Source organism: Homo sapiens, chromosome 5 (assembly GCF_000001405.40).
Source record: "Homo sapiens chromosome 5, GRCh38.p14 Primary Assembly".
Taxonomy (NCBI): domain Eukaryota; kingdom Metazoa; phylum Chordata; class Mammalia; order Primates; family Hominidae; genus Homo; species Homo sapiens.
The window spans coordinates 112,400,135-112,424,955 of NC_000005.10; the positions used below are offsets into that span (position 1 = coordinate 112,400,135).

At 41.5% G+C, this 24,821-nt stretch overlaps 1 protein-coding gene and 1 long non-coding RNA gene across 16 annotated transcripts in view, besides 1 other annotated feature; one reads left to right on the top strand and one right to left on the bottom strand.

Moving 5' to 3' along the window:
- The window catches only part of EPB41L4A (erythrocyte membrane protein band 4.1 like 4A), a 278,107-nt gene extending 258,306 nt beyond the window's left edge, over positions 1-19,801 (bottom strand). For 6 of the 15 annotated variants that reach the window (XR_001742173.3, NR_144931.2, XM_011543533.3 and 3 more), the window contains exon 1: positions 18,807-19,143. Coding sequence is in view for 12 of the 15 variants with exons in the window: in XM_011543533.3 (XP_011541835.1) it covers positions 18,807-18,905 (99 nt within the window). In the remaining 3 variants the exon portion in view is untranslated. Of the gene's footprint in view, positions 1-18,111; positions 18,306-18,806; positions 19,255-19,624 lie in introns of those variants that run through there. The other 9 variants (XM_011543531.4, XM_047417471.1, XM_011543532.3 and 6 more) reach the window with 3 other exon arrangements.
- Positions 19,449-20,844, top strand: EPB41L4A-DT (EPB41L4A divergent transcript). Its single transcript, NR_027706.1, has one exon. It is a non-coding gene; the product is annotated as an EPB41L4A divergent transcript (long non-coding RNA).
- Positions 19,808-19,897: a silencer, noted in NCBI's record as "silent region_16236". NCBI's record gives its function as "represses an Ori minimal core promoter by ATAC-STARR-seq in GM12878 lymphoblastoid cells {active_cell/tissue: GM12878}" and the evidence as "EXISTENCE:reporter gene assay evidence [ECO:0000049][PMID:35858748]".

Sequence of the window (24,821 nt, forward strand, 5' to 3'; positions counted from 1 at the left end):
CGAAGGTGAAGGAGAAGCAGGCACCTTCTATACAAGGTGGTAGGAAAGAGAGAGGGGGGTGAAGAGAACTACCAAACACTTTTAAATAATCAGATCTCATGAGAACTCACTCACTATCACGAGAACAGCATGCGGAAAACCGCCCCCATGATTCAATCACCTCCTACCAGGTCCCTCCCAAAACACGTGGGGATTACAATTCGAGGTGAGATTTGCGTAGGGACACAGAGCCAAACCATATCACTGGGTCATTTATAAAGAAAAGAGGTTGCATTAGCTTACAGTTCTACAGGCAGTACAAGCACGGCACAGCATCTGCTTGGCTTCTGGGGAGGCCTCAGAGAGCTTTTACTGATGGTGGAAGGCAAAGGGGGAGCAGGCAGGTCACACAGTGGGAACAGGAGCAAGAAAGAAAGTGTCAGAGGGAGGTGCCACACACTTTTAAATGACCAGGTCTTGCAAGAACTCATTCACTAATGCAAAGACAGGACCAAGCCATGAGGGATCCAACCCCATGACCCAAACACCTCCCACCAGACCCCACCTCCAGTGTTGGGGAGTACAATTCAACATGAGATTTGTGTAAGGACAAACATCCAAACTCTATCAATTTTGTTGTTCTAATTTAATGTATGTTCATTTTGTATCCCCCACAACAGCCTGACTAGTGTCAAGAAGGCAAAGGTATTAACATTTACTGAACACCACTGGGTGTTAGACATCACATGGAGACACAAAATATCTTGAGTGCAAGTACTGTTAAAACTTCCATGGAACTGACTGGCTCCCTATTCCTTCTGGATAACTTTTAACTATATATGGTCTTACTCTATGAAGTAGCCCTAATGATGAAAATAAGAAGTTCCAAAAAATGAGTCATTAAAAAATCAAAATACTCATGAGTCCAAGAAAGAACAAACAGCTTCACTCTTCTTTCCCTACCAAACAAGCATCCACATTGTTGAAAATAGGAAATTTCACTGATTTTCCTGGCCCCTATCTGTCCCCTATCTATGAGAGGAAATGAAAAAGTCACAGTAACCTGCAGAACCTGAGTAATAAAAAGTTGATTGTGACTCCAGACTAGGTAAGCCACAGACACTACCTCCAGGCTTGAAAACTAGCCACATCCAGCAGACCTTCAGAGCTAGAAAAAAGCTTGGCCATTTATCCTAATCATCAAACACTTGCATCAAACATGCATTTAACGTATTCACTACCCAGGATCTGAGGAATTCTTTCTTCATCCTTCACTCAGTGAAGAACTAAAAGTTCCTACATAAGAGGAAACTAATTCTCAATGTTCTCTCATTAATTTTAAAGAATTTTTAAAAATGTTACCCATGTGAACTGATACACCAAAAATACCAGAATCATGTGACAGCAAATATGTAAATATGTATATGGATTGCATATGCTTTATTCTCCACCCAAATGTCTTAATTTAAGAAGAAGTATAAAATCTACTGGTAAGTATTATAAAAAATTATAGCTATTTCCAAGTAATTGTATCTTTATTGACTCTCACCCTTTTTCCTCCTACAACAGAAATCGAACACAATGTAACCCAAGAAATGCAGCTGAATTGACCCAACTAGTGTCAATGACTCTTCCATGGAGACGAGATTAGACAAAAAGAGAGCCAATGACAGGTGCATGCAGTAAAACCTCAAGATACACTAGTCAGCCTAAGCAATTTTTACTGATCATTTTTGGTTGCGTATGATTAGAAAACTAGCAACTTGGCATGTCTAATAAGCCATGAATTCCACTTAGAGCAGCAAAATGTATTAAACACAGGGGGAAATGGTGCATTTTGTTGTCACTCTGTAACCCCAACACGTTAGGTGGAAAGCAATAAATTAGCCACTTGCAGATGAAGGTAAAAACATACACCAGTGATGTGGTTTGGATTTGCGTCCCCGCCCAAATCTCACCTTGAACTGTAATCCCCAGTGTTGGAGGAGGGGCCTGGTGGGAGGTAATTGGATCTTGGCGGCAAATTTCTCCCTTGCTGTTCTCATGATAGTGAGTGAGTTCTCACTGGTTGTTTAAAAGTGTGTAGCACCTCCTCCTTTTCCTCCTGGTCTAGCCATGTAGAATGTGTCTGCTTCCCCCTCACCTTCCACCACGATTGTAAGTTTCCTGAGGCCCCCTAGCCATGCTTCCTGTACAGCCTGCAGAACTATGAGCCAATTAAACCTTTTTTTTTTTTTAATCCAGTCAGCAATGCAAGAACAGACTAATACAACTGGTAAAACCAAAACAGAGGAATGCCTGTCTTTCACTTTGTGCTGAAAACCACAGCAGCCTTTGCTAACAACATGACTTTGGTCAACTCACCAGTTACTGCAGCAAGTAAAAAAGCACGGGAGTGCTTGCTTCAGCGGCACATATACTAAAATTGGAATATACAGAGATTAGCATGGACCTTAAAACAAAAAAAAGAAAAAGCGTGGGGAAAAGTACGTGGAAGACTCGGCACTACAGACATTTATCACATAAAATCACCACCCCTCCCCTGGGGAGAAAAAAAATCCTTGCCTCCTTTTCAACTTTTCTATGACACCAGATGGGAAGCATTTCAAAACATGAATCAGTTCACAGCAAAACTTTTCAAAAGCACATTTTTTTGGTAAAGCAAGGCACATCTTCTTGAATACATACCTGTTTTCAGTACCTCAATTTTCATACTTCAAGAAAATGTTGTTTCAATACATAAATATTGCTCATCTTTTGAGAACAATATTTAAAAGGAAGATTAAGCCTTCCTAGAAAGCGGTTAGTCGTATGTTTACTCTTAAACACAACTGACCCAAATATTAATATGGTATTTAAATGTCATGTCACTTATTTTTCTCCCTCTAGCTCACACACACACACACAAAACCCTCAGCATTTTTAAGTTGGAAAAAAAAAACAAAGATTTTTAACCCAAAAACATATGAGGAGCCTCTAGTTTTTTCACCCCCATTCACAAAGAAAATCTGTGCCATAAGGGGATTGATCCACTGTCAACCTGGAGGCTGGTTTCCTTTATAGCTGTTCTCTGGGAATCTGTGTCTGTTTCTATGACACTGTCAAAACCTGCTTTCCCAATGCATGTAATGGATGAAAGGCAGTCTAGGATCAAGCTCTTCTTGGTTCGTTGAACAAAGATTTTTAGGAAATAATGATTTATCAAGGTCCTCATAATCCTCAGCAAAAAAAAAAAAAAAAGGCAAGTCAGAGTCTTACAAAGGCTAAATCATAATTAACTTAATGTCTTCATCACTGAAATTAACAGAAGAACTGTAAGTCTCCTTTTTGACATATAATTTACTAATCACATGTCAAATCTAAGCTTGCCTTTCTTTCTTTAGAGACAGGGTCTCACTCTGTCACCCAGCCTGGAGTGCAGTGGAGCTTACTGCAACCTCTAACTCCTGGATTCAAGTGATGCTCCCACCTCAGCCTACAGAGTAGCTAGGACTACAGGCTCACACCACCATGCTGGCTAATTACTTTTATTTTGTAGAGACGGGGGTCTCACCGTGTTGTCCAACCTGGTCTCAAACTCCTGGGCTTAAATGATCCTCCCACCTCGGCCTCCCAAAGTGCTGGGATCACAGGAGTAAGGTACTGCGCGAGGCCTAAGCTTCATTTTTGAAACACATCTCCATCAAGTGAACAAGGCTAAGTAAATTAAATGTACCTCTTTATGCTTGGGCAGGCAAACTGACCAGTTCATTTTTGACTATTCTACTGGAAATACAAAGGAGTTATTTTCAGCTACGACCTCCAAAAATTTGAAAAGCTGTACATGAAGGTTGACATCAAAAAAGGAGGAAGAAGAAAAAAAGAGAGAAAGCTGGTTGTTGTTTTCAAAGTAAGCTCTGTTCCATGCAATAAATCAGTTTTCTAATCGGCAAATGCAAATGTAAACATTAAGAAGCCTTCTAAGAAAAACTGCCCCTTGCTTCATTGCTTAGAACCTATGTCTAAGGACATTCTGTCATGATTTCACCTCCCATAAGGCACAGCACTATCTAACTATATCATCTCTCATGAGGCATGGCATTATATGACTATATAATAATGGCAGCTAACACACATTTGGCATTTACCATGTTATCATGTGCTAGGCACTATTCTAAGCCCTTACATGTACTATTTAATTCAACTCTCCCAACAATCTGTGATGCAGATAGTGTTATTCTCATTTCACTGATGACAAAACTCAGGCACAGAGTTAACTTGCCAACAGTGAGTAAATGATGGAGCCACAAGATAATGATTTTTAAAAATCTATGGCACCTTAACATTTTGTAAGTTTTTTCAACCATTATCTCCCTTAAGCCTCCCAATACTTGTCATATTAATGGGATAATATTAGCATCAGTTTAATTTTATAAATGGATAAACTATGACTGCAAAACATTAAGTGACTTCTCCAAGCTAGGAAATGAAGGAGCTGGAAGCAGAATCCAGATATTCGGAGTCTATATTCTCTCCTTCTTCCACTACATAGACTTTTTCTTTCTTATTGTAGACACTCAATGAAAAGTATTTTCATCAAGCTGATTATTTCTCAAAGCATAACTCTAGATTTAAGTTCCGGATGGTTAGAAGCAATCTAATTCACCTCTTCACGCCCTGCATCAAGTGCAGGGCCTGGTGCACAGGAGGGACTGCTAGTTCAAGCATTCCCCAGATCCCCCGTCTTCCTCCACAAAACTCCCTTCTCTATGTTCATGCTACCTCTCCATGCTGCATGGCCTTCAGAGACACAGTCCATCCTCACAAGGCCTCACTTTCAACTTTCAGGAGGCCAAATCTCTTCTCCAAATCTAAAATCCAAAAACTCATCTGAGGACTATGCAGTCTGTCTTCCAGATGGCTTCAAGGGAGCCCTTGTTTTCATACCCTTGTTTAGTCCTCTCTCACACGAGTGGTGTGACCAAAAAACTACAGCAGAAATGACAGGATGTTATAAAAGACTGTGGCTTCCATCTTGAGCTCGCATTCTCTCATATTCTCTCGGGTCACTTTCCATGGAGGGAGGTCAGCTGCCATATTGCAAAGTACTCAGGAGTCTATGGAGCAGCCCACATGGTGAGGGCCTATGGTTTTCTGTTGAAGGCCAGTGAGGAACTGAGGGCTGCCCATATCCACCATCTCCAGATGACTGACGCCTCAGCCACAACTTGAGTGCAACCTCATGCGAGACCTGGAACCAGAATCCTCCAACAAATGGCTCCTGGATGCCAGATCCACAGAAATTGTTGATGATAAATACTGGTTCTTTTAAAGCTGCTAAGTTTTGTCCATAATTTGCCACATAGCAATAGATAATGCAGGAGCAAAATTTGTTATAAACTAGTATAAGGCTACTTAGAGTCTCTACTTTTGTGAATATCCAATTTATGTGCTTGTTTTATGAGGTGCCTCCCCAGAGGTGATTGGGGATGCTATATAATACATACATTACATTACCACCCTAGAATCTGAAATATTTTAGATCTTGAAACAGAGCCAGCCACGAGGGTTTCAGATAAGGCACAGTTCAACCTGTATTCACTTTTTCTAAAATACCTTTCCTGATTAACTTCACCTTGGCACATAAGAAACAATTTCTTACAAGAATTTCTGTACCTCTTAAGAATCTCCACCACATGATTCAATACTTGATTATAAATTGTCTCATATCATACTCTGTTGTTTTATAAATAAATGTCTCCCCACCTAACAGTTAAACTTCTACAGGCAAGAGTCCTCCCTTTATTTCACTATCCCACCAGAAATCCTGGATGCTACTAGGTACACAATAAGCTCTGAATATATTCTTGTAGAATTGAGTTCACAAATCCAAACCTACAATTATGGTCACATAGCATTGGTCCAGACCCCAATATACCCTCACACTCAAAACATATTTATCTTCAAATAACTGCTGGAGAACATGATGTAAAAACAGTGTCTGAAAGAAAAAGAAGCAGGCTCCCTAAGGAATTCTGGAAAATTTGCACATCCTCCAAGCGCCCTTGTAAACAGCAGCAGAAGCACAAAATAATCATTATCAAGGGAAAAGATCTATTAGCCTCCTAATGATTGGTCCATCTGAAACCTTTCAACGAAAGAGCAATTTTACCTTTCTGCTTTCTTCTCTGCATCCTTCTTCAGGCAATAAGAAGAGTCACTGATCAGTTTTTAATTTTATTTCCTGGAGAGATATGCAGCATGGAGCTTTAAAAACTCAGGGAAAAGGCTTTACAAAATAAAGACCAAGGAAACACTCAGTGACATAAGCTCTAATACTAAAAATTAAAATGCAGTGCAATAAGTATCATTCTGAAAAGAAATTCCACGCAAGCCATCTCTTATGTAATTTTTTTAAAGCTTCCCTCGAGCAGAAGACACTCTCTCTCACAGAACCTAACCAGGAAGAGTTCTACAAATCCAAATGCTAAGGTCATAGGAACAGACCAGAGGCCTGAGATGGCTTAATTTAAGGGCTGGGGGTGGGGAGAAGGGAAGGGCGCAGTTAGGAGTATGGGAGGTGATGGGATTGGCAGTGAAATCTACATGATGTTCGGCAAATTCTGACTTCTGCCTCTACAACCAGTTCTCAGTTCTTCCCTCCCATGCTGCAAAGACACAGTGAGTGAGCACCAAAAAAAGAACCAAGAGAAAAACCAGAGAGAAGAGTCTAGGCCCATGTGCTAAGTCTCTGTTCCCTCCCCTGTAGAAAGTGTGGGCTGGATTAGATGACTCCAAATGTCCATGTCAGGCCTAACTTTCCATCATAACTGAAACCCACTCTGTTGTAATTATGTCAGCTCTTCCACACTCTTGCCCTGGCTGTCTGCTGCACTTTGGGTAGCATCGTGGGGCTGAATTAACTGAGGATATGGGACTGCATGCAGCTTTGGTGCAGAGGATCAGACAGTAGAACTACTGGGCAAAAGCATGAGTGGCTGACAGGAAAAAGCAATGACAAGCAGAAACGAGTTCGTGTGAAAGATTTTGTGAAGCTACCACATTATCTAGATTCTGAATGCTTGAGATTCTCTTGACAAAGGGAGCAGTAGCCCACACATTTATTGGGATTTTTCAAGCGTTTGAATACTATTGACTTTTAAAATGTGCCATCCAGAAAAGACTGTAAAGCTTATATTATGCCAGTTTTGATACCACTAAGATTTCCTACAATTTCCCTCAGTCATAGAGGATTGTAGTTCAATTCCACAAAGCCACAGCTGCTCCAAATGCCTTAACCTACAATCCTGCTAGAAATCCCCAAAGTTCAAGGTTGAAAGGAAGTCATGGAGGTGGGAAGGGTGTGTGTGTTTAGAAGCAGTCTTCCAGCTGTCTACATTATTTCCTGTGAGGAAAGCAGCACACATTGCACTCTAAAACCTGCTAAATATGTTTCAAGATAATAGATGAAAATCCATGTATATTTAAATGACATTAACATCTTCACCTGTCAAACCTACCAAAAAATTATTCATAAAACCTATGCAAATACCCTTTTTTCCAGTCTTCCACCAAGTGATTTACAGAAAAATCCTACAAGAACCAAAGCCAAATCCTTAACAGAACATAAATAACAACACTCAGAGCTTATAGAGAAAAGTTTTGGAAGTCTAAATATTCAAGCACAGTTTTAAGTTACAAAAGCATTAGCAGCAGCAGGACTAAAACAATCCTTCAATCAGTCTTTTGACAAATATTTACTGAGCACCACCACGTGCCTGGCATTCTTTTAGGTTCTTGAAGATTTAACAGTGAGCAAAATATACAGTGTCGCTGCTCCAGGAAGTTTACAGGAAATTTTTCTCAAAATATTAAATGTTTTTAACTAGGAATGTTTTCTCTGTTGAATTACCCACATCTACCTTACCAAGGAACTAGTAAAAATAAACAAGATGCATAAAGATAGTCATGTAGATCAATGGGATAGAATTCAGAGCCCAGAGTTAACTCCTCACATTTATTTTTAATTGATTTTTTTTATAAGGGTGCCAAGACAATTCAATGGAAAAAAACAGTCTTTTTAACAAATGGTGTTGCGACATGTGCAAATGAAGAATGGGTCATAGACCTAAATGTAAGACCTAAGGCTATTAAAAATCTTAAAAGCAAACATAAGAGTAAATCTTCAGGCCTTAGGTTAGGCAATGGTTTCTCAGATATGACACCAAAAGCACAAGCAACATAGGAAAAAATATAGATAAACTGGACTTCGTCAAAATCAAAAATTTGTGGGTATATAAGGAACCCTTCAGAAAGTATAAAGATGACCCAAATGGGAGAAAATATTTGCAAATTAAACATCTGATAAGGAACTTGCATTCAGAATTTTTAAATTCTTATACTCAAAAAGACAAATCAGTTTTAAAAACTGGCAAACAATGTAAACAGACACTTCTCCAAAAAAGATATACAAATGACCAATACGGCCAGGTGCAGTGGCTCATGCCCATAATCCCACTTTGGGAGAATCAGTTGAGGCCAGGACTTCAAACGAGCCTGGGCAACATGGTGAGACTCCATCTCAAAAAAAAAAAAAAAAAAAAAAAAAAAAAAAAAAAAAAAAAAAGGGCCAGTAAGCACAAGAAAAGATGCTCAACATCATTAGTCACCAGAGAAAAATGCAAATGAACACAATAAGATGCTACTTCACACCCAATAGGATGATAATAAAAAAAGATTTATAACAAGCGCTGGTGAGAATGTGGAGAAATTAGAACCCTTATACATAATGATGAAGTCATGGTGGAAAACAGTTTGGAAGCTCCTCAAACTGTTAAACTTTATGACCCAGCAATTCCACTCTTAGGTATATACACAAGAGTAATTAAAGCATTATTAAATTAAATGAGAACATACATCTATACAAAAACTTGTACATGATTGTTCATATCAATACTATTTGTAATAGCCAAACAGTGTAAAGAACCCAAAAGACCATCGACTGATGAAAGAATAAATAAAATATAGTACATCCATACAATGGAATATTATTCAGCAATAAAATGACAAAGTACTGATATGTGCTACATTGTGAATGAATCTTGAAAACACTATTCCAAGTGAAGGAAAACAGTCACAAAAGATTACATATCATATGAATCCTTTTATATGAAATGTCCCGAATACACAAAACTATAGAGACAGAAAGATTAGTGGTTACACAGTGGTGGGGGCAGGGGATGGAAGGCTGGAAGGAAGTGAAGAGTGGTTTTCAGTTTCTTTCTGCAGGGACGAAAATCTTATAAAATTGATTGTGGTGATGGCTGCACAATTCCGTAAATATATGAACAACCACTGAATTGGACAATTTAAATGGGTAAGTTGTACAGTATACAATTTATATCTCAATAAAGCAGTTTTCAAAAATTAAATAAGAAATTGAGGAGTCAAGCAGTTATACCAAGAACACCTAGAAAACGGAAAGGAGAGAGATGCCTTCTCTTTCTCAGATTATGTCAACGTAAAGATACTTTTTCTTATTCAGATTAATTCAACATTTATTCATTGATGCCTACTACTCTTTAGGAACTAGGCTTGACTGGGAATCCCATAAAAAAGACCTAGTTCTCTCCCTCAAGGCTTTCCATCCCTACTAACAGCTGCTACCACTCACCGGGAAAGGAGCTAAGGGTTTCATGTATAGCATCCCATGATGAGGTGGACAGCCTTACCCTTATTACTGATGAGAAAGCCAACTCAAAGAGGGTAAGTGATTTGGCCATGTTCACAGCACTAACCAACAGGAGGGAGACTCGAAGCCAGATTTGTCTATGACAAAAGCCTATGCCCTCTTCACCTCACTGTATTCCTCCCAGGTCAAGGTGAGCAGGAAAGTACAAAAACTACTGCAATGAAATGCAGTCTGGATTAGGGTCAGAAGAGGGCCTCTCCAGCTCCGCATCAAGGAGAAGTCTTCACAAAAAAGTGAAACCTAGGCAGAACTCTCCTTCATGAGAGCTGATACATCACTCAAACAAAAGGAGGTGGGTGGGGCTTTCTACACACAGAAAAAGGTGAGAGGGAATGTGGAAAATTCAGAGACTAGGAAGCAGCTCCATCTGGCTAGAGTATCAGACAAGTATGAGGAGATGGTGGGAGAAAGAATAGAAAGGAGGTTGGGACTTGAAAATGACTGCCACTCGCAGCTAGGAATTTAACCCAAGCACAGAGGCTGACTAGACATTAAAGTATTCTAGGCAGGAGGCAAGAAAGAGCACTCTAGATGCAGGTGGTTAATGCTGGAAGCAGGGGCCTTGCAGGGATTAGGAGGCCCTGCAAATTGTCCAGCTGAGAACTGAGAAGGGCCTGAAGTGCAGCAGCAATGAAAACAGGGGAAAAGAAACAATTTGGAAGATGTTTAGGAGGTGGGAATTCCAAGACCTGGAAGGATGTGGAAACTTAAGGATCCTGACCCAAGAGGTAGACTGGACACTGATGGTGACAACAGTACCCACAACTCTCCTCCTTCCTTCCTGAGCCCCTCCCCCATGTAGCCACTGGCCTCAGGGAAACTGACCCCACTCCCACCCAGCTTCAGGAAAGACCCTTTATTCTTCTACAGGTGATCCCATTGCCCTTATCGCCCAAGAATGGCCATGAGACTCATTCTAGCTAAAAGACTCAAGGGAAGTCTGCTGGAGGACTTCAGGAGAAAGCCTTTCTCCTAGAAAAGACTGTCTCTATTACTATCCTACATATTGCCATATACAAATATCACCTCTTCATCTCTAGAATTTGGCCATTGCTACCACCTGAGGATGGCACTGGCTCCAAGATAGCAGAGCAAGGATGAAATGAGAGAAGCTGGGACCTTGATGTCACTGACCCGCCCTGAACCTCCTTTCCTTGCCCCTGGATTCCCTGATAGGTGAGCTAATAAACTTCCTCATGTTCAAGTAGTTTGCAATGGTATCTCCATAACTGGTGACCAAAGCATCTTTACTGATAGAGTGTGAGATCATTCATCAAACTTGGAAGCACAGGAAGATAAGCAGGTCTGGAGGAGGGTAGTGATGGCTGGCTTAGGCATCTAGTGCAGAATCTAGTAAGTGATCAGAATCCAGAAAATAAGGAAGTTGGGACTACAGGTACAGATGTGGAGTTTCAGCATTCTAGTGGTGGTTGAGGCAATGTGAGTAGATGCACAAATGGAACATGATACTATTTCTCCTACAGACAGATCTGACAAATATATATGAATATCAAATCACCACTGCTCTCCCACTTCTAACAACCACTCATACCCCTCGGAGAACCTGTGCAACCTTAGGCAGGGGTGGCAGAGATTCGATATCCCAAACTGAAATTCAGAAATAAATGTATTTGCAAATAATATATCATACATACTAATAGCTATCATTTATTGAGCACCTTTTATCCTATGTACCTAAAATTCTTTCCTCAAATTCTCACAGTCATCCTATGAGGCAGATATCATGCCCCTCAGCTTACAGATAAGGAAACTGGGGCTGGCAAAAAAAAAAAAAATCACTTGTCCAATCACAAAGCCAGTAATTACAAGGCAGACAAGGATTTGATTGAACACAGGACAGGGAGCAGGGAGGGGAAAGACTGATGGTGACCATACAGCACTCCCATTAGGAGGCTGGCCCAGGTGAAAGGGCCAAACTAAGTCAGGAGCAGCGAGGATGGCAGAGAAAAACCAATTTCGACAAGTCGCAATTAAGGCAGCAGAGGTTCCAAGCCTGCTTCTCAAACACAGGTCTGATGAAGGTCAAGGTGGAACCTGAGTGATTTAACAACTCAAATAGTCTCTCTGGGCTAGCTCAGCAACCTGACCCTCACTCACGGCCCCCACTGTTCTCTAAACAAAGCACTTTCTAACCAACCGCTGAAACATAGTCCCCCTCAAGATGAGGACTCCACATTACTAAATGCGCTTTCCCGAGGGCTCAGAAGGTGTCGTTCCTAAACAATACACTGCAGCACATGGTTCCCTCTGCAGTCTCGGTCCACCAATTCCTCCTTTGCCATCTGACCTTTTGGTTATTGTCTGTGTGAGCTATCGCTCAGCACTTCTCTGTTTTCCCTGCCTGTCCCCATCTCTCTTGTTCTAACTTCCTCTTGGCATGTCAATATCCTGTGCTGGAAAACAAACTTCTCACACATTTTGGAAGGGCTGCAGGCCCTTTATGTCTTCAGCGATCATTAAGACAGCCTCCGAAGGAACTATTCCAGACCTTGATGAATCTCTTTGCAAGAGTGTGTAGTTATAGAGAAAGGGATTCACAATACGCAGCATTAAGACATAATGACTATTTCACTTAAAAAAGAACACAGGAAATACATGCATGGCTCAGAGGACACAGGAATGCAATCACATTTTTTACAATGGTATAGACACTCTAAATTGTACTTACAAGGTTTTTGAGTCACAAAGTAAACTGACTGGTTCCTGAATTTAGCACACTGAGTCTATGCCCAGGACATGTGATAACAGGTGCCTGTTTAATCTTAACATATGAAACGTGGAAACAAAACTTATGGTGCAGAAACAAACGGTGGTTAGTCATCACAACCCAAAGCAGGATGACCAGGAGCAATATGCAGGAGCTTCAGATGTGATTAAAATTGTCAGAGATAAAGCTGAACCAAAGCAGTCAATCTCAGAGAGGCAGGAGCCGTAGATGCAGCCAGTTTGATCTCTGACTTGTCATGTTTACAACAGGCCTGCAGACAAACACACTTTGCATCAGAATGAAAAATATAATTTTTTCATAAAAACCCAATATTTAATGTATTTACACCATCTTTTCCAGTAAGCCTTAGAGCAGTGTCAGATTAGGTTTAAACAGCTTCAAGAGTAACACACAGGTGATTCAGCAAGATTAAAAATTACAGTGCTGGTTCACAATAGCATAAACCCCCACTGTGAAACCAACCAACATGGTTCTCAGTTTCAAGAATGGGAGACAAGGAAGAAAAGTCACTAAAGTATGAGGATCTATTTTCCATTTGGGAAATATGCTCTTCTTCGGAAAGACTCAGGTTGGAAGGGGAGCATTAAATTTAGAAGAGAAAGATTTGGTACTTACAAAATACAAAAACGGTGTGATTCATGTTTTCTGAAATAGCTGCTAGTCAGCTTTTCAATGTACTGCATGCATTCAGTCCACTGCACCGTCTCATTTTCTACCCATTATCAATACAAAAATTAGAGTATCTTGACAACAGATTTTTCACAGTGGGATTCACTTTATTCTAGGGTCTTTTCTAGTAAAAATAAAATAGCAAAGGAACTCCATTATCTAGAAGATTTTCAATACAGCCTATTCCAGCTGTAACACTCCACTCATTCTTCTATCAAATTATAGTTAATAAGCATCTACCACATGAAGTATACAGCTCTGACTCCTGGGGATCACAGGTAGCAGCTCACAGGCTGCTGGAGGAGACAGATGTGTCCAGAAATAATGCATGCAGTGTGACAGATGCTGTAACAGGGATGTGTGAGGCACAAATAGGCACCTACCTCCGCTTGGTCAGGCAGAAGTGAAGGCTGCCTAGCAGATGGGACACTTGATTCAAGGATGCTTCCGATAAGTATGTGTTTATGGAGAAACAAAATGGTACACCAATCAGCAGGAATCTCATGCATAAAGTCTCAAAACAATCTGGAATATTTGGGAAACCGTGAGCAGTTTCTGCATACCTAGAGGGCAAGTCACTTGGACTGGCAGGGCTAGATCAGGTAGGGTGCTAAGTCAAACAATGAAGCTTGGACTTTATCTCTAGGAAGGAATGAGCCACTACAACAAGGAGAAGAGGAGGAAAGGTGGAATAAAGTTAAAATTTGCTGGGTGCTTATCATGTGCAAGACAGCATGAATGTAGAAGGTGAATACTGTACATCATTTCTCTTCATTTTACAGATGGGGAAACTGAAACTCAGAAACGACTCGGCTAGTAAGTAATTAGCGGTGCCAAAATTTAAACCCAGGTAATCTGACTTTAGAGCCTATGCTTTTAATCACTGCAGGTATTGTTTTGTGTATAAAGATATGAAGCACGTGTAAAGATACTTGAATATGAAGCAAGATAAAGATAACATATTGTTTTCACTGAATATGAGGGTAAACAACTCACCATTCCAAAAGAGGGGGAAAAAAGAAAAAATAGAAGGCATCTAAAAGTTACCCCGCATTCAATATTGAAACTGTGCAACAAAGACATAAGAACAAAGGAAGCTGCTATCCTCTATGAGAGTGGTTCTCAACGGAGGGTGATTATGCCCATCAGGGAAGATCTGGCAACATCTGGGGAGATTTTTGGTTGTCATTATTGGAAAAGAGGTGCCACACATCTGGTGAGAGGAGGCAGGGAATGCTGCTAAGTATCCTACAAGGGACAGGATAAACTCCCACAGGGAGTTCAAGATAGTTCAAGCTTACCAATACAGAATTCAAGAACACACACAGTAACTGGACTGCAAAAAGTGTAGTTCACTATCAACCAAGAATACCAGAAGCACCTAGGGAGGGACAGCCAAAAGCTGTTGGAGGTAACCAACAATGCTTTCCCCCTTAAACAGTTATTAAATCACATTCAAGTCATGGATGATAAAAGGTATTTTTAATAATTTTTTTCAAGAAAAAGACTTCTTGTAAAATTGAGGGGCTATTTATACACAGTTCATCTTATGCGGCCACAACCTGGATATCACTTTTGAATTTTAGAAAACTGGATGTAGTTATGCAGGAGAGACACTTTCTAGCCCAGTCACATCTAATTTAATACCCAATCAAGACCACAGTGAATCTTACGTTTGTGTGTGATTACTTGCTTCTACCTACGTTTATATGGTTCCTGACTCTGTACCTTAAGTAGCTGATACCAAAAGATATGAGTATTCACATATAAACTTAATATAATTTGTGAAACTATTGCTTTTCATTTTTTCCCAATCTTCTGGGATATTTTATTTATTAGTCCAAATTGAATGAAAATTGTAATTTTTGGTAAGTGAGATGCATAAAATTTAAGCCCTCGCCTTATGCTTGTTTTCCTAGCTTATTAGGAAATTTCTAACCAAAAGCATCAAAACTGACTCACAGTATTCCCTCAGGAATCTCAGGATGATTGGGAAGTAACATTATTTAGTAGTTAATGGATGAACTATACACTTTAACTGGGCGAAATGTATGGTATACCTTAACAAAGCCATTTAAAAGAAGGTAATGGAATTTTCATCTTACTGCCATATTGGTTTCATTAGTTTAGTCAATACTCATAGGGAAAAATGAGCACCTAAACATTCATCATGCTACTCAGAGGATTAAAATCTTGCCAAAATGAAAATACTAATCTATTTCATATTTGTAGCAGCAATTTTGAGAATTAAATTTATAATCAAATCTTGTGACTTTTGTTTTCCTGAAAATGTTTTGCTAACCAAATGAAAAACTAGAAAAGCAGTCTGAGCCACATTCAAGTTTTGCTAAGAGAACAAAAAGAAAGTTATCTACCTCCCTCAGCACAGAGAACTAGAAAGGATACAACAAAAGTTTCCCAGAACATTACTCAAACAACTGAGACCAACCATACCAAATATCCTTACTTGAATAAACAACAGATAGCAGCAAAAGACAAACAGCTAAAAGCTATTGTAGGGCTCAACACACAACCAATAGCTCTCAGCTTATGTAAACTTGAGTTTTTAAATCTCGGATAAGGTTCAAACTGTGAACTGCATGAATAAGACTTTCTGCTATCAAGGTGAGGTTGCCCCTAAAGCAAGTAAAAAAGGCAAATACCTCCGTAACATTAACAGGGATGCAAAGATACTGTGTTTTATTTTTCTGGTATTTTTTTTTTAACAGAAAATTATTTTCCATTTAAATGGAAATTAAATGGAAATAAAATTATTTTCCATTTAACTGATATTCATCTTACCATATAAGATGAGTAACTGTTGTCTTCAGGCTGAAACACTTTTCATGATGACACATTAATTTTTTTTCTAACATCGATGAAAAACTTTATCTAAGTTGAAGAAAAATCACTTCAAAACTAACTTTTCTATTTGTAATTTGGTGCTTAAATAAATCCAAAGAATGTTTTTCAAAATGATACACAGAAAAAATGTTTACCAAGATTCTCTCATATTTCTTCCACCTTAACTTGCTATAATTAATCTTTTCTAATTCACAGTGCATTACTGTAACAATAATACAAGCAAATTCTCAAGTAACCATTTAGGAATCAGTAAAATTATTTCTACTAAGAGATGAAATGTGTGCATAATTTTAATGTAAAATTAGCCATCTTCATCTAAGATAGAATAGGAAAAAGGATAATCACAAAATAAATGTTAGGAAATGCTTTTGAAAAATAGAGATTTTTCTAGTTAATTTCAGAGAACAGTAGGCTAATTGATGTTGCCTGCTTAATTTTGACTTTAATTAGTGGTAATCAAAATTACTAAGTATACTATCTCAAGGAAAAACACCATAATGGTAGCTACTGGCTATTAACTTTGAAGTAACTGTTTACTTTTTCATTTACAAACTAAAGTAGGAGTTAATTTTAAGTAATTAATGCAACACACATCAATTGTACCTATGCACCATAATACAGGAAGGTTAGGAAAAAGTTTTTTAAAATGTCAAGTATGTACAGAACATAAACATGTTCATCCAATGTTTGAATACCTCTACATGCAAGTTTTTTTATACACACCATTTATAAATATGCAAATATATTTAATTTAGTACACGCCAAGGGTGGGTAGGTGTTTAACACATACACTTTTAAGGTAGCATAGAAGATAATGTGATTAGCTTTAGCAGACAACATCTGTGTTACACACATGGCCATCAAAATAATTGTGGCATGCTTTTGTGACAAGGACAGAGGCCAAGCCTGTTGTTAAATGATTATTTCCAACAACAGCCTGCTTAAATTATTGTTTAGTTATATGGCCCATATCCAAAGTAACAGTATTACATAGTTGCTGTTGCCTTTGAATCACTCACCAATTTTCAGCCCATTTGTAAAACAAGATAAGCACCACTGGATTATAAAAAATAATTATGGATCAGGATTTTTGATTCATGTTTCTTTGACAAAATTATTCCATTTGATCCCAAGTCCTGGCTGCTCTCTTGACAGAATAATGTACACGCTCTACAGCTGATAGGCATGACTTTGATGATTAAATAGGAAGCTCACATTCCAGATGACTTTAGACTCCAGATAATTTAGACTTTGCACTTCAAAAAGATTTCTTTACTGTCTTAGTATCTGATCATCAGTTACCTTTTTCTAATTGTTTCTATCTCGACACAAGAATCTATATATTATCTACAATTTAGGATGTTTTTGTGATTTTTGCCTATTTTATTCATACAGTACACCAAAGAATGTTACATCATCTTGTAAGTTACAATATTTTCCTGATTTCATTGGGCGGGTGAGAGGAGAAATATTTTGGAACATAAAGAAAAGTTAAAAATACAAAATGTACACCCTCCCCGAAAAGAGTCTATTTTATTGGTCTTGAAAGGAAATACCGAATGAGAATCGAACTGAATTTTGCTCAGTATAATTACTGGGGAAACAATATTCAAAACAACCTCCTAAAGGAAAGGGTTAACAATCTTGTAGCTTTAACTGATTATTTTTGCTCCTTTCTCCCGCAAAAGAATTACACCTATGAAACTGGAATTCTGTACACTAAGAATGGCAACATTAACGCTGAAACTTTTAGCCAGGAATAGTTATCCTAGTGTGCATAAAACTATGTAAAAACTGATTCACAAAAGGAAATGCCCAGGGCCTACCCCATTATGATTAACTTCTGAGATGAAGCGACTAAGAGAGGATACTTGGCAGCCTGAACTCGATTTCTCAGAAAGCCAGCTCTATCAGAGCGGGGGCGGGGGGGCGGTTTCCCTTCACCAGACTCAGCTGTTGCCTTATCTAAAATGCCTTAGCGATCTAAAACTGAAAGAGAAAGATAAACAAAACAACAAAACGCTCCGGATTTAGATCTCCTTTAGGTAGTTAACACTGTTGCAAAAGCAAAACAAGCACGCAGGCGCGTCGGTCAGGTTGTCACTACAAACATACGTACCTTCTCATCCAATGTAAGGAAGAGGATCTCTGCGAGCTCTGCTGCCTTTTTGTTTGGGCTCTCTAGGTTAATGTAGTGATTGCATTTTAATGACCCACAAACAGGAGCAAAGTTATTACTGGGTCGCTTTGAGAGATGTTTACTTAAATGTGAGGATAAACCCAGGTCGCTGTAGAAAGGGAAAATATTTTCCGTCCAAACGTAGCATTACCCAACTACGAACCCACGCAAAACAATCACAATGACCCATTAATGCGTTTCAACGAGTGAACTAGTTCACTTCCCTAATAACACTGTCAAGGAAAACGCCTTCAACAAAGTCGAGGGAAACCATGCCTTCCACACTGGTGGGACGCAGCTGGTATAACCCATTCTGCCCCTCTTTGAGAGCTGCGGGGCACCCAGAGGCTTTTGGAGAAAACCGGTTTGGGGAAGAGTTTTGGGGTGCTGCTGGGAGCCGGTGTGCTGAGTAAACTTAGAAACGTCAAACTCAACTTTGCTTTATGAAGGAACTCAAAGTTAACTCACCCTGGTACGTCCACCCTCTCCCTGCGCGCAGGGGACAGCGGCCTCTCCTCCCCACCGCGCAGAGTCGCGGCCGCCGCCCTCGACCCACCGGTGACAGCCCTCAAAGCGATGGACCCCCGCACCCGCCCTGCCGCCAACCCCCGGAACGCGCTCCGGGCCGCACCCACCTTGATGCCCTGCTGCTGGGTGGTAAGGGTTAACTTGGATTCATCCAGGAGCAAAACTTCGCAGTAAAATTCTTCCGGAACAGCGCAGAAACAGCCCATGTCGGTTGTGGTCGTCTCCAGCCAGGAGAGAAAGCTACCACCGAGGCGCCCAGCCGCCCCCTCCACTCAAGCGCGATGCATTAATTTATTGTCCGCGCCGTGGCGAGGGTGAGACGAGCAGCTCCCGGCGGGGTCCGGGGACCGGCCGCCGAACCGCCCGGCGGGGCGGGAGCGAGAAAGGCGGAAAAGCCCGGGAGAGTCAGCGCCCGGGAGCCGCCGGGGAAGCGCCGGCGGAACTGGGCGCGGAGGGCGGTGGCGCGTCCCCGCGCATCCTGCGGCTCGAGCTCCTCCGAAGGCGGGGGCGCGGGGCCCCTCCCGCAGTCCTGGGGACGACAAAAGTCTCCTGGCACTGGGGGCAAGAGACCAGAAAAAGGAGTGATGGGAATTCGAGGCTCTCCCCGGCCTTGGAAAACCCTGGAAGCGCTGCACCTCCCTCCTGCCGCACGGATTTGAGCGCGGCCCCGACGTCCTGGCGTCCGATCGGCCTGCGGAGTCCCCCGCGGGCGCGCACTTCCAGCCGCGACCCCGCCCCGCAGCCCCGGGTCAGATCCGCCGAGTATGAAGCGCTCGGCTTTTCTTTTGTGTGAGGAGCACCCACGACGCCCCGACCATGGGCGCAGGGGCAGAGGCGAAGGTCGTCGCTCCGTCCGCTACCCCGTCCCCCAGCCGCAAGCGCCGAGGAGCCGGAAGAGAGGCGGAAAGGGCAGCAGGCTCCTTACCCAGACCAGCGAGGGGAGGTCAGCTCGTCGCGGGGTGTGGCTCCCGTCCGGGGACTCCCGAGCTCATTACGGGTGGCCGTGTGTAGCCAAGTTCAAGCTCTCCCTCCGGGAATGCCTGCCGCGGCGGCGGAATACGGCTTCTTCAGGACATTCAGCAAAGCGGGGAGGCGGGGACCTGCGGGCGGAGGAGCGACGCCCCAGCTGGGAACGCGGCGGACGGGCGAGCGGGGGGTGCGCCCTGGGCGCGCCAGGCCGCAGAGGCTCCGGGGAAAGTTCTCTTGGCCGCGCGAGTGGTGGCGCCCCGGGCGGGAGCAGCCCAGGTGCATGTGGGCCCGGTCCAGGCGTCTGCAAAAAGCCCTGGAACGAAGCGGACCCCCCAGTCCAGCGCTGGCCGCGGCAGGGGAGCCCCTTCTGGGCGGGGTATCAGCTGGGGGCGGAGGGCGGGGCAGAGACCGTGGTCCCAGCGGCGAGGTGCCGGCGAGTCCACGCTGCCAAGCCGCACACTGCGCCCAAGCCGCGGGGCAGTCCAGCGCTCGCTGCGTCCTTCCCCCGAGAGACCTGGAGGCTGGGTGGGGAGAAGAGGACGCGGTGCTGCTCGGACCCCACGGTTCGGCGGTCCCAATCCCACGCCCTCCGCGCGGTCGGCCGCGTCCAGGACTGAGGGGCACAATAGCTCTGAAGCTGCAGTGACCCCTGGTGGGTCCCGATGTCCGTGCACAGGCAGCCGAGGTTGAGCTGCGGACGACACTGAGCCCCGCTGGGCTTCGGAGCAGGTGCAATCTGTGCTCTCCAGCTGGGAACCAGCAGCGAGTTAATGCGAGTCGCAGTTAGGGGAGACACGAGGGGAGGTGTCACAGAAAAAAAACTCTATATTGAGTTTTAGAGTTAGAGCTTTGGCATCAGACGTAGTTTTGAGTTGACTATTCTACTGCTTGTTAGCTGGGTAGCCAAAGCTCAAAAAAAATTGCTTAAAACCTAGGACGTTAGCCCTTAAAACAAAACCAGGCTTCCGTAGCACAGTAGAAATGAAATGAACAATTGGCGACTTTTGATGGAGTTTCCTCTCATAGTGATTTGCCACAAAGGACCTTCTGTAGGAAGCCTCGGCCTTCCCTGCTATTGTGACCCCATCCAAACACAGGATCAGCATAACCGCCAAAGTGCAATATAAATTTCTGAACTTTACCTAGGCTATGAATAAAACTATTTTATCTTCTGAATTTTCTGTGAAATTGACTCAGGTTTTGAATTTCTGATCAAATTTCGTGTCCAGCTTTGTTTTATTGTCAAAGTCTTGCCTGCCTTATGAGGTGACACCTTATTATGCTAGATTTTAGCATTTCTGCTTGTAGAGGCTTTTCTTTTCTGTAATACAGTATTCCTGACAGGAGTTACCAAATGTGATTGAAAGATGGCTTAACATTTTCATTCTTTACCTCCATATCCAACCGAGACACTTGAGGCTGCAAAAACAAAAGGTTCAAGCAATCATCTGTTCCCAGTTTTTTTGAGTTTTGCTCTCACCTGTTTTTTGGCCCTTTGATTTGGTTTTTTTGCTTTCTGATTTTTGGTTTTGCTGTTGTTTGTTTTTGTTTTTTTACCTCCAGTGGCAGTGAGAAGGCTGAGGGTTTTGGATGGGCAGGGATTCTGTTCCCAGCTCCTCATAAGGTAAGTTACAAAGCCATAAGGTCCCATACATATGACACTCTTTCCTGAGTGAAGCATTTTCTTTTCCATTTCTTTATCGGAGACTGGAGAAAAGAACATTTAAAATCTATTTAACACAAAATTAGAGATTACTAGTGACAAGAGGATTCCACAGAGTTTCTAAGGATAGCTTTATTGCATATAATTTACATACAGTTCACTGCATAATTTTTAAGTGTACAATTTGATAAGTTTTGACATAAGTGTGCACCCATGAACCCACCACCATAATCAAGCTAGTACACATATTCATCCCTCCCTAAGGTTTCCTCCTGCACTTTGTCATCTTTCTTTTTTTTTTTTTTTTTTTTGAGACAGAGTCGCGCTCTATCAGAGTGCAGTGGCGCGATCTCGGCTCACTACAACCTCCACCTGCCGGGTTGGAGCAATTCTCCTGCCTCAGCCTCCCAAGTAGCTGGGACTACAGGAGTGCGCCACCATGCCCTGTATTTTTAGTAGAGACAAGGTTCCACCATGCTGGCGAGGCTGGTCTCAAACTCCTGACCTCATGATCCGCCCGCCTCAGCCTCCCAAAGTGCTAGGATTACAGGTGTGAGCCACCGCGCCTGGCCACTTTGTCATCTTACACTCCCATTCCTCAGTACGACTCACCTCCCAGGCAACCATAGATCTGCTTTCTGTCACCATCATTTAGCTACATTTTCTAGAGTTTAATACCAATTGAATCATACAGTGTGAACTCTCCTTTTTGTCTGGTTTGTTTCACTGGACACAACTGAGATTTAACCATGCTGTTGTGAATATAAATAGTTCATTTATTTTTATTGTTCAATAATATTCCATTGTATGTATATACCACAATTTGTTTTTCCATTCATTTAGGTGGTTTCCAGTTTTTGACTATTACAAATAAAGCTGCTATGGGGATTGTATTAGTCAGCTCAGGCTGCTATAACAAAATACAGCAGACTGGATGGCTTAAACAACAGACATTTATTTTCTCACAGTTCTGGAGCCTGGAAGTTCAAGACTACTGTGCCATCATGGTCAGTTTCTGGTGAGGCACCTTCCTGACTTGAAGGAAGGCTCCAGGTTACTGTGTGCTCACATGACATCTTTGTGTGCTTTCAGAGAGAAGGGGAAAGGGAAGAGGAATAGAAGGAGAAGAGAGGGAGAAAAGGAGGGTGAGACAGAAATATTAAGGAGGGTTGGGGAGAGAAAGACACCAAGATAGCACCCTCGGGTCGATTATTACAAGAACATTAATCCTATGGTATCAGGGCTCTACTCTTAGGATCTCATTTAACTTTAATTGCCACCTTATAGACCCTATCTCTAAACAGTCACATTGGGTTAGGGCTTCAACATATGAATTTTGAGGGAACACAATTCAGCCCATAGAAAGGATCCATGTCTTTATATGTACATGTGCTTTTGTTTCTTTTGTAATACAGAGTAGAATGACTGGATCAGAAGATATACAACTGGCAAATAAACACATGGAAAGATGATCAACATCATTAGTCACTAGGAAAATGCAAATTAAAATCACCATAAGATACCACTAGACACCTAATAGAATGGCTACCAAGCTACCATATCACTAAGTGTGGGTGAGGATGTGGTGCAATTTTTTTTTTCTTTTTTTGAGATGGAGTCTCGCTCTGTCACCCAGGCTGCAGTGCAGTGGCACAATTTCAGCTCACTGCAACCTCTGCCTCCCGGGTTCAAGCGATTCTTCTGCCTCAGCCTCCTGAGCAGCTGGGACTACAGGCGCGTGCCACCACGCCCAGCTAATTTTTGTGCTTTTAGTAGAGACGGGGTTTCACCATATCGGCCAGGCTGGTCTCGAACTCCTGACCTCATGATCCGCCAGCCTCGGCCTCCCAAAGTGCTGGGATTATGGACGAGAGCCACTGCACCCGGCCGGATGTGGAGCAATTTAAATTCTCATAATCCTGGAGTGCATGCAAGATGGTATAACCACTTTGGATAAGTTTTGTAGTTTCTTAAAAAGCTGAACATAGACCTTCCTTAAGATTTTGGAGGAAGACTTTCTCTGCCTATCCAGAGAAACAAATTAACAAGATGCTATTCAAACACTTTTTCCCAGGAAAATCATATAGTTTTCAACATGTGCATAACATAATATGCTCTATTTAAAGCTTTGCATCAAAGGCTTTGATCTCTTTTCAGTGATTTTTGTTTTAACATTTTGTTAAATGTTAAACATTAACATTTTGTCATGATAAGCCTAGGTAGACGAGTCAAATGGCAAATAAATTCAGAATAAACATAATTCTACAGAAATATGCAGGGCTTCCATCTGTGAAAGACTGCAGGAATCCTCAATCTGGAAGAAGAAATTTCATTTTACGTAAAACAGGCCCCCACCCCTTGCTGAAACATGTATTTCAAAATGCAAACTCAGAATTCTTTTTAAAGCACCATATTCTTTTTAGTAAGATGTATTTAAACAATCTTCTGTGATCTTTTTATAATCTTACATTTTTCAAACTTAAGAAAGTTAACTGTAATACGTAAAAGAAAGAAGCCTGAATTTCTTGACAATAGATACATAAATAATTTAATTACTAACATACCTGAGAGCAACGCAGCAGAATCACCAGGGCTTGTTAAAACACTGATTTCTGGCCCTAACCCCAGGGTTTCTGATTTAGTAGTCATGGAATGGGACCTAAGAATTTGCATTTCTGACAAGTTCCCAGGTGATGCTAATGCTGCAGATTGGCAAGCGGACTTTGAGAATCACTGCTCTGGAGATTGTCTTTCAAAAAAAATAGTTGTTCCTCATTACCTGTGAATAATTTGGGAAGAAAGTCATTCTTCACTAGTAGCCTCCCTGTTATTTTGCCTCATTCATCAAATTAATGCCTGTCAAAGAGAAAGTATTGAAGATCCTGCCAAGTAGATAACATCAGAAGGAGTAGTTGTTAAGGGAAATATCCCTAATTTGGTCTCATCATACTACTGCTTAGTTTCTTTGGACACCTTACTTATTTTTATTTCTAATATAGTATGTGCCCAGGCACATCCAGTTTTTAAGACCATTCTGCCTCCTGACTCACTTCACATATAGGTATGTCATTAACCAGCTGTCTTCTTTTCTAAGTACTGAGGCCTTAGATCCCATTTATTAGAATACCTCAAGGCTGTTACCTATGTTTCAAGGGAAACCATCTCCCAAGAATTCCCTGCAATCTAAGCTGGTTCTTCATCCTTGTGATCTTCAAATAAATGTTCTTTGGGGTTTACTGAGAATTCTTATTTTGCACAGGTATTAATCCTTGGTAGTGAATGCATTAATGTGGTTTGTATTTAGCAAAAATAGTCTGGAAATTTGAAACACCCTAGCTCCCCTTTCTTTTAAAAACACAAACGAACTTTCCTCTTGCACTATTATATAAGCTGCTGTTTTTTTTAACCTCATTGCTTACCTTTAATAACTTTCCATGCCAGTGAATATATCTCCATTTCATCTTTCCTAGGTGTTCTGTTATATGCATAC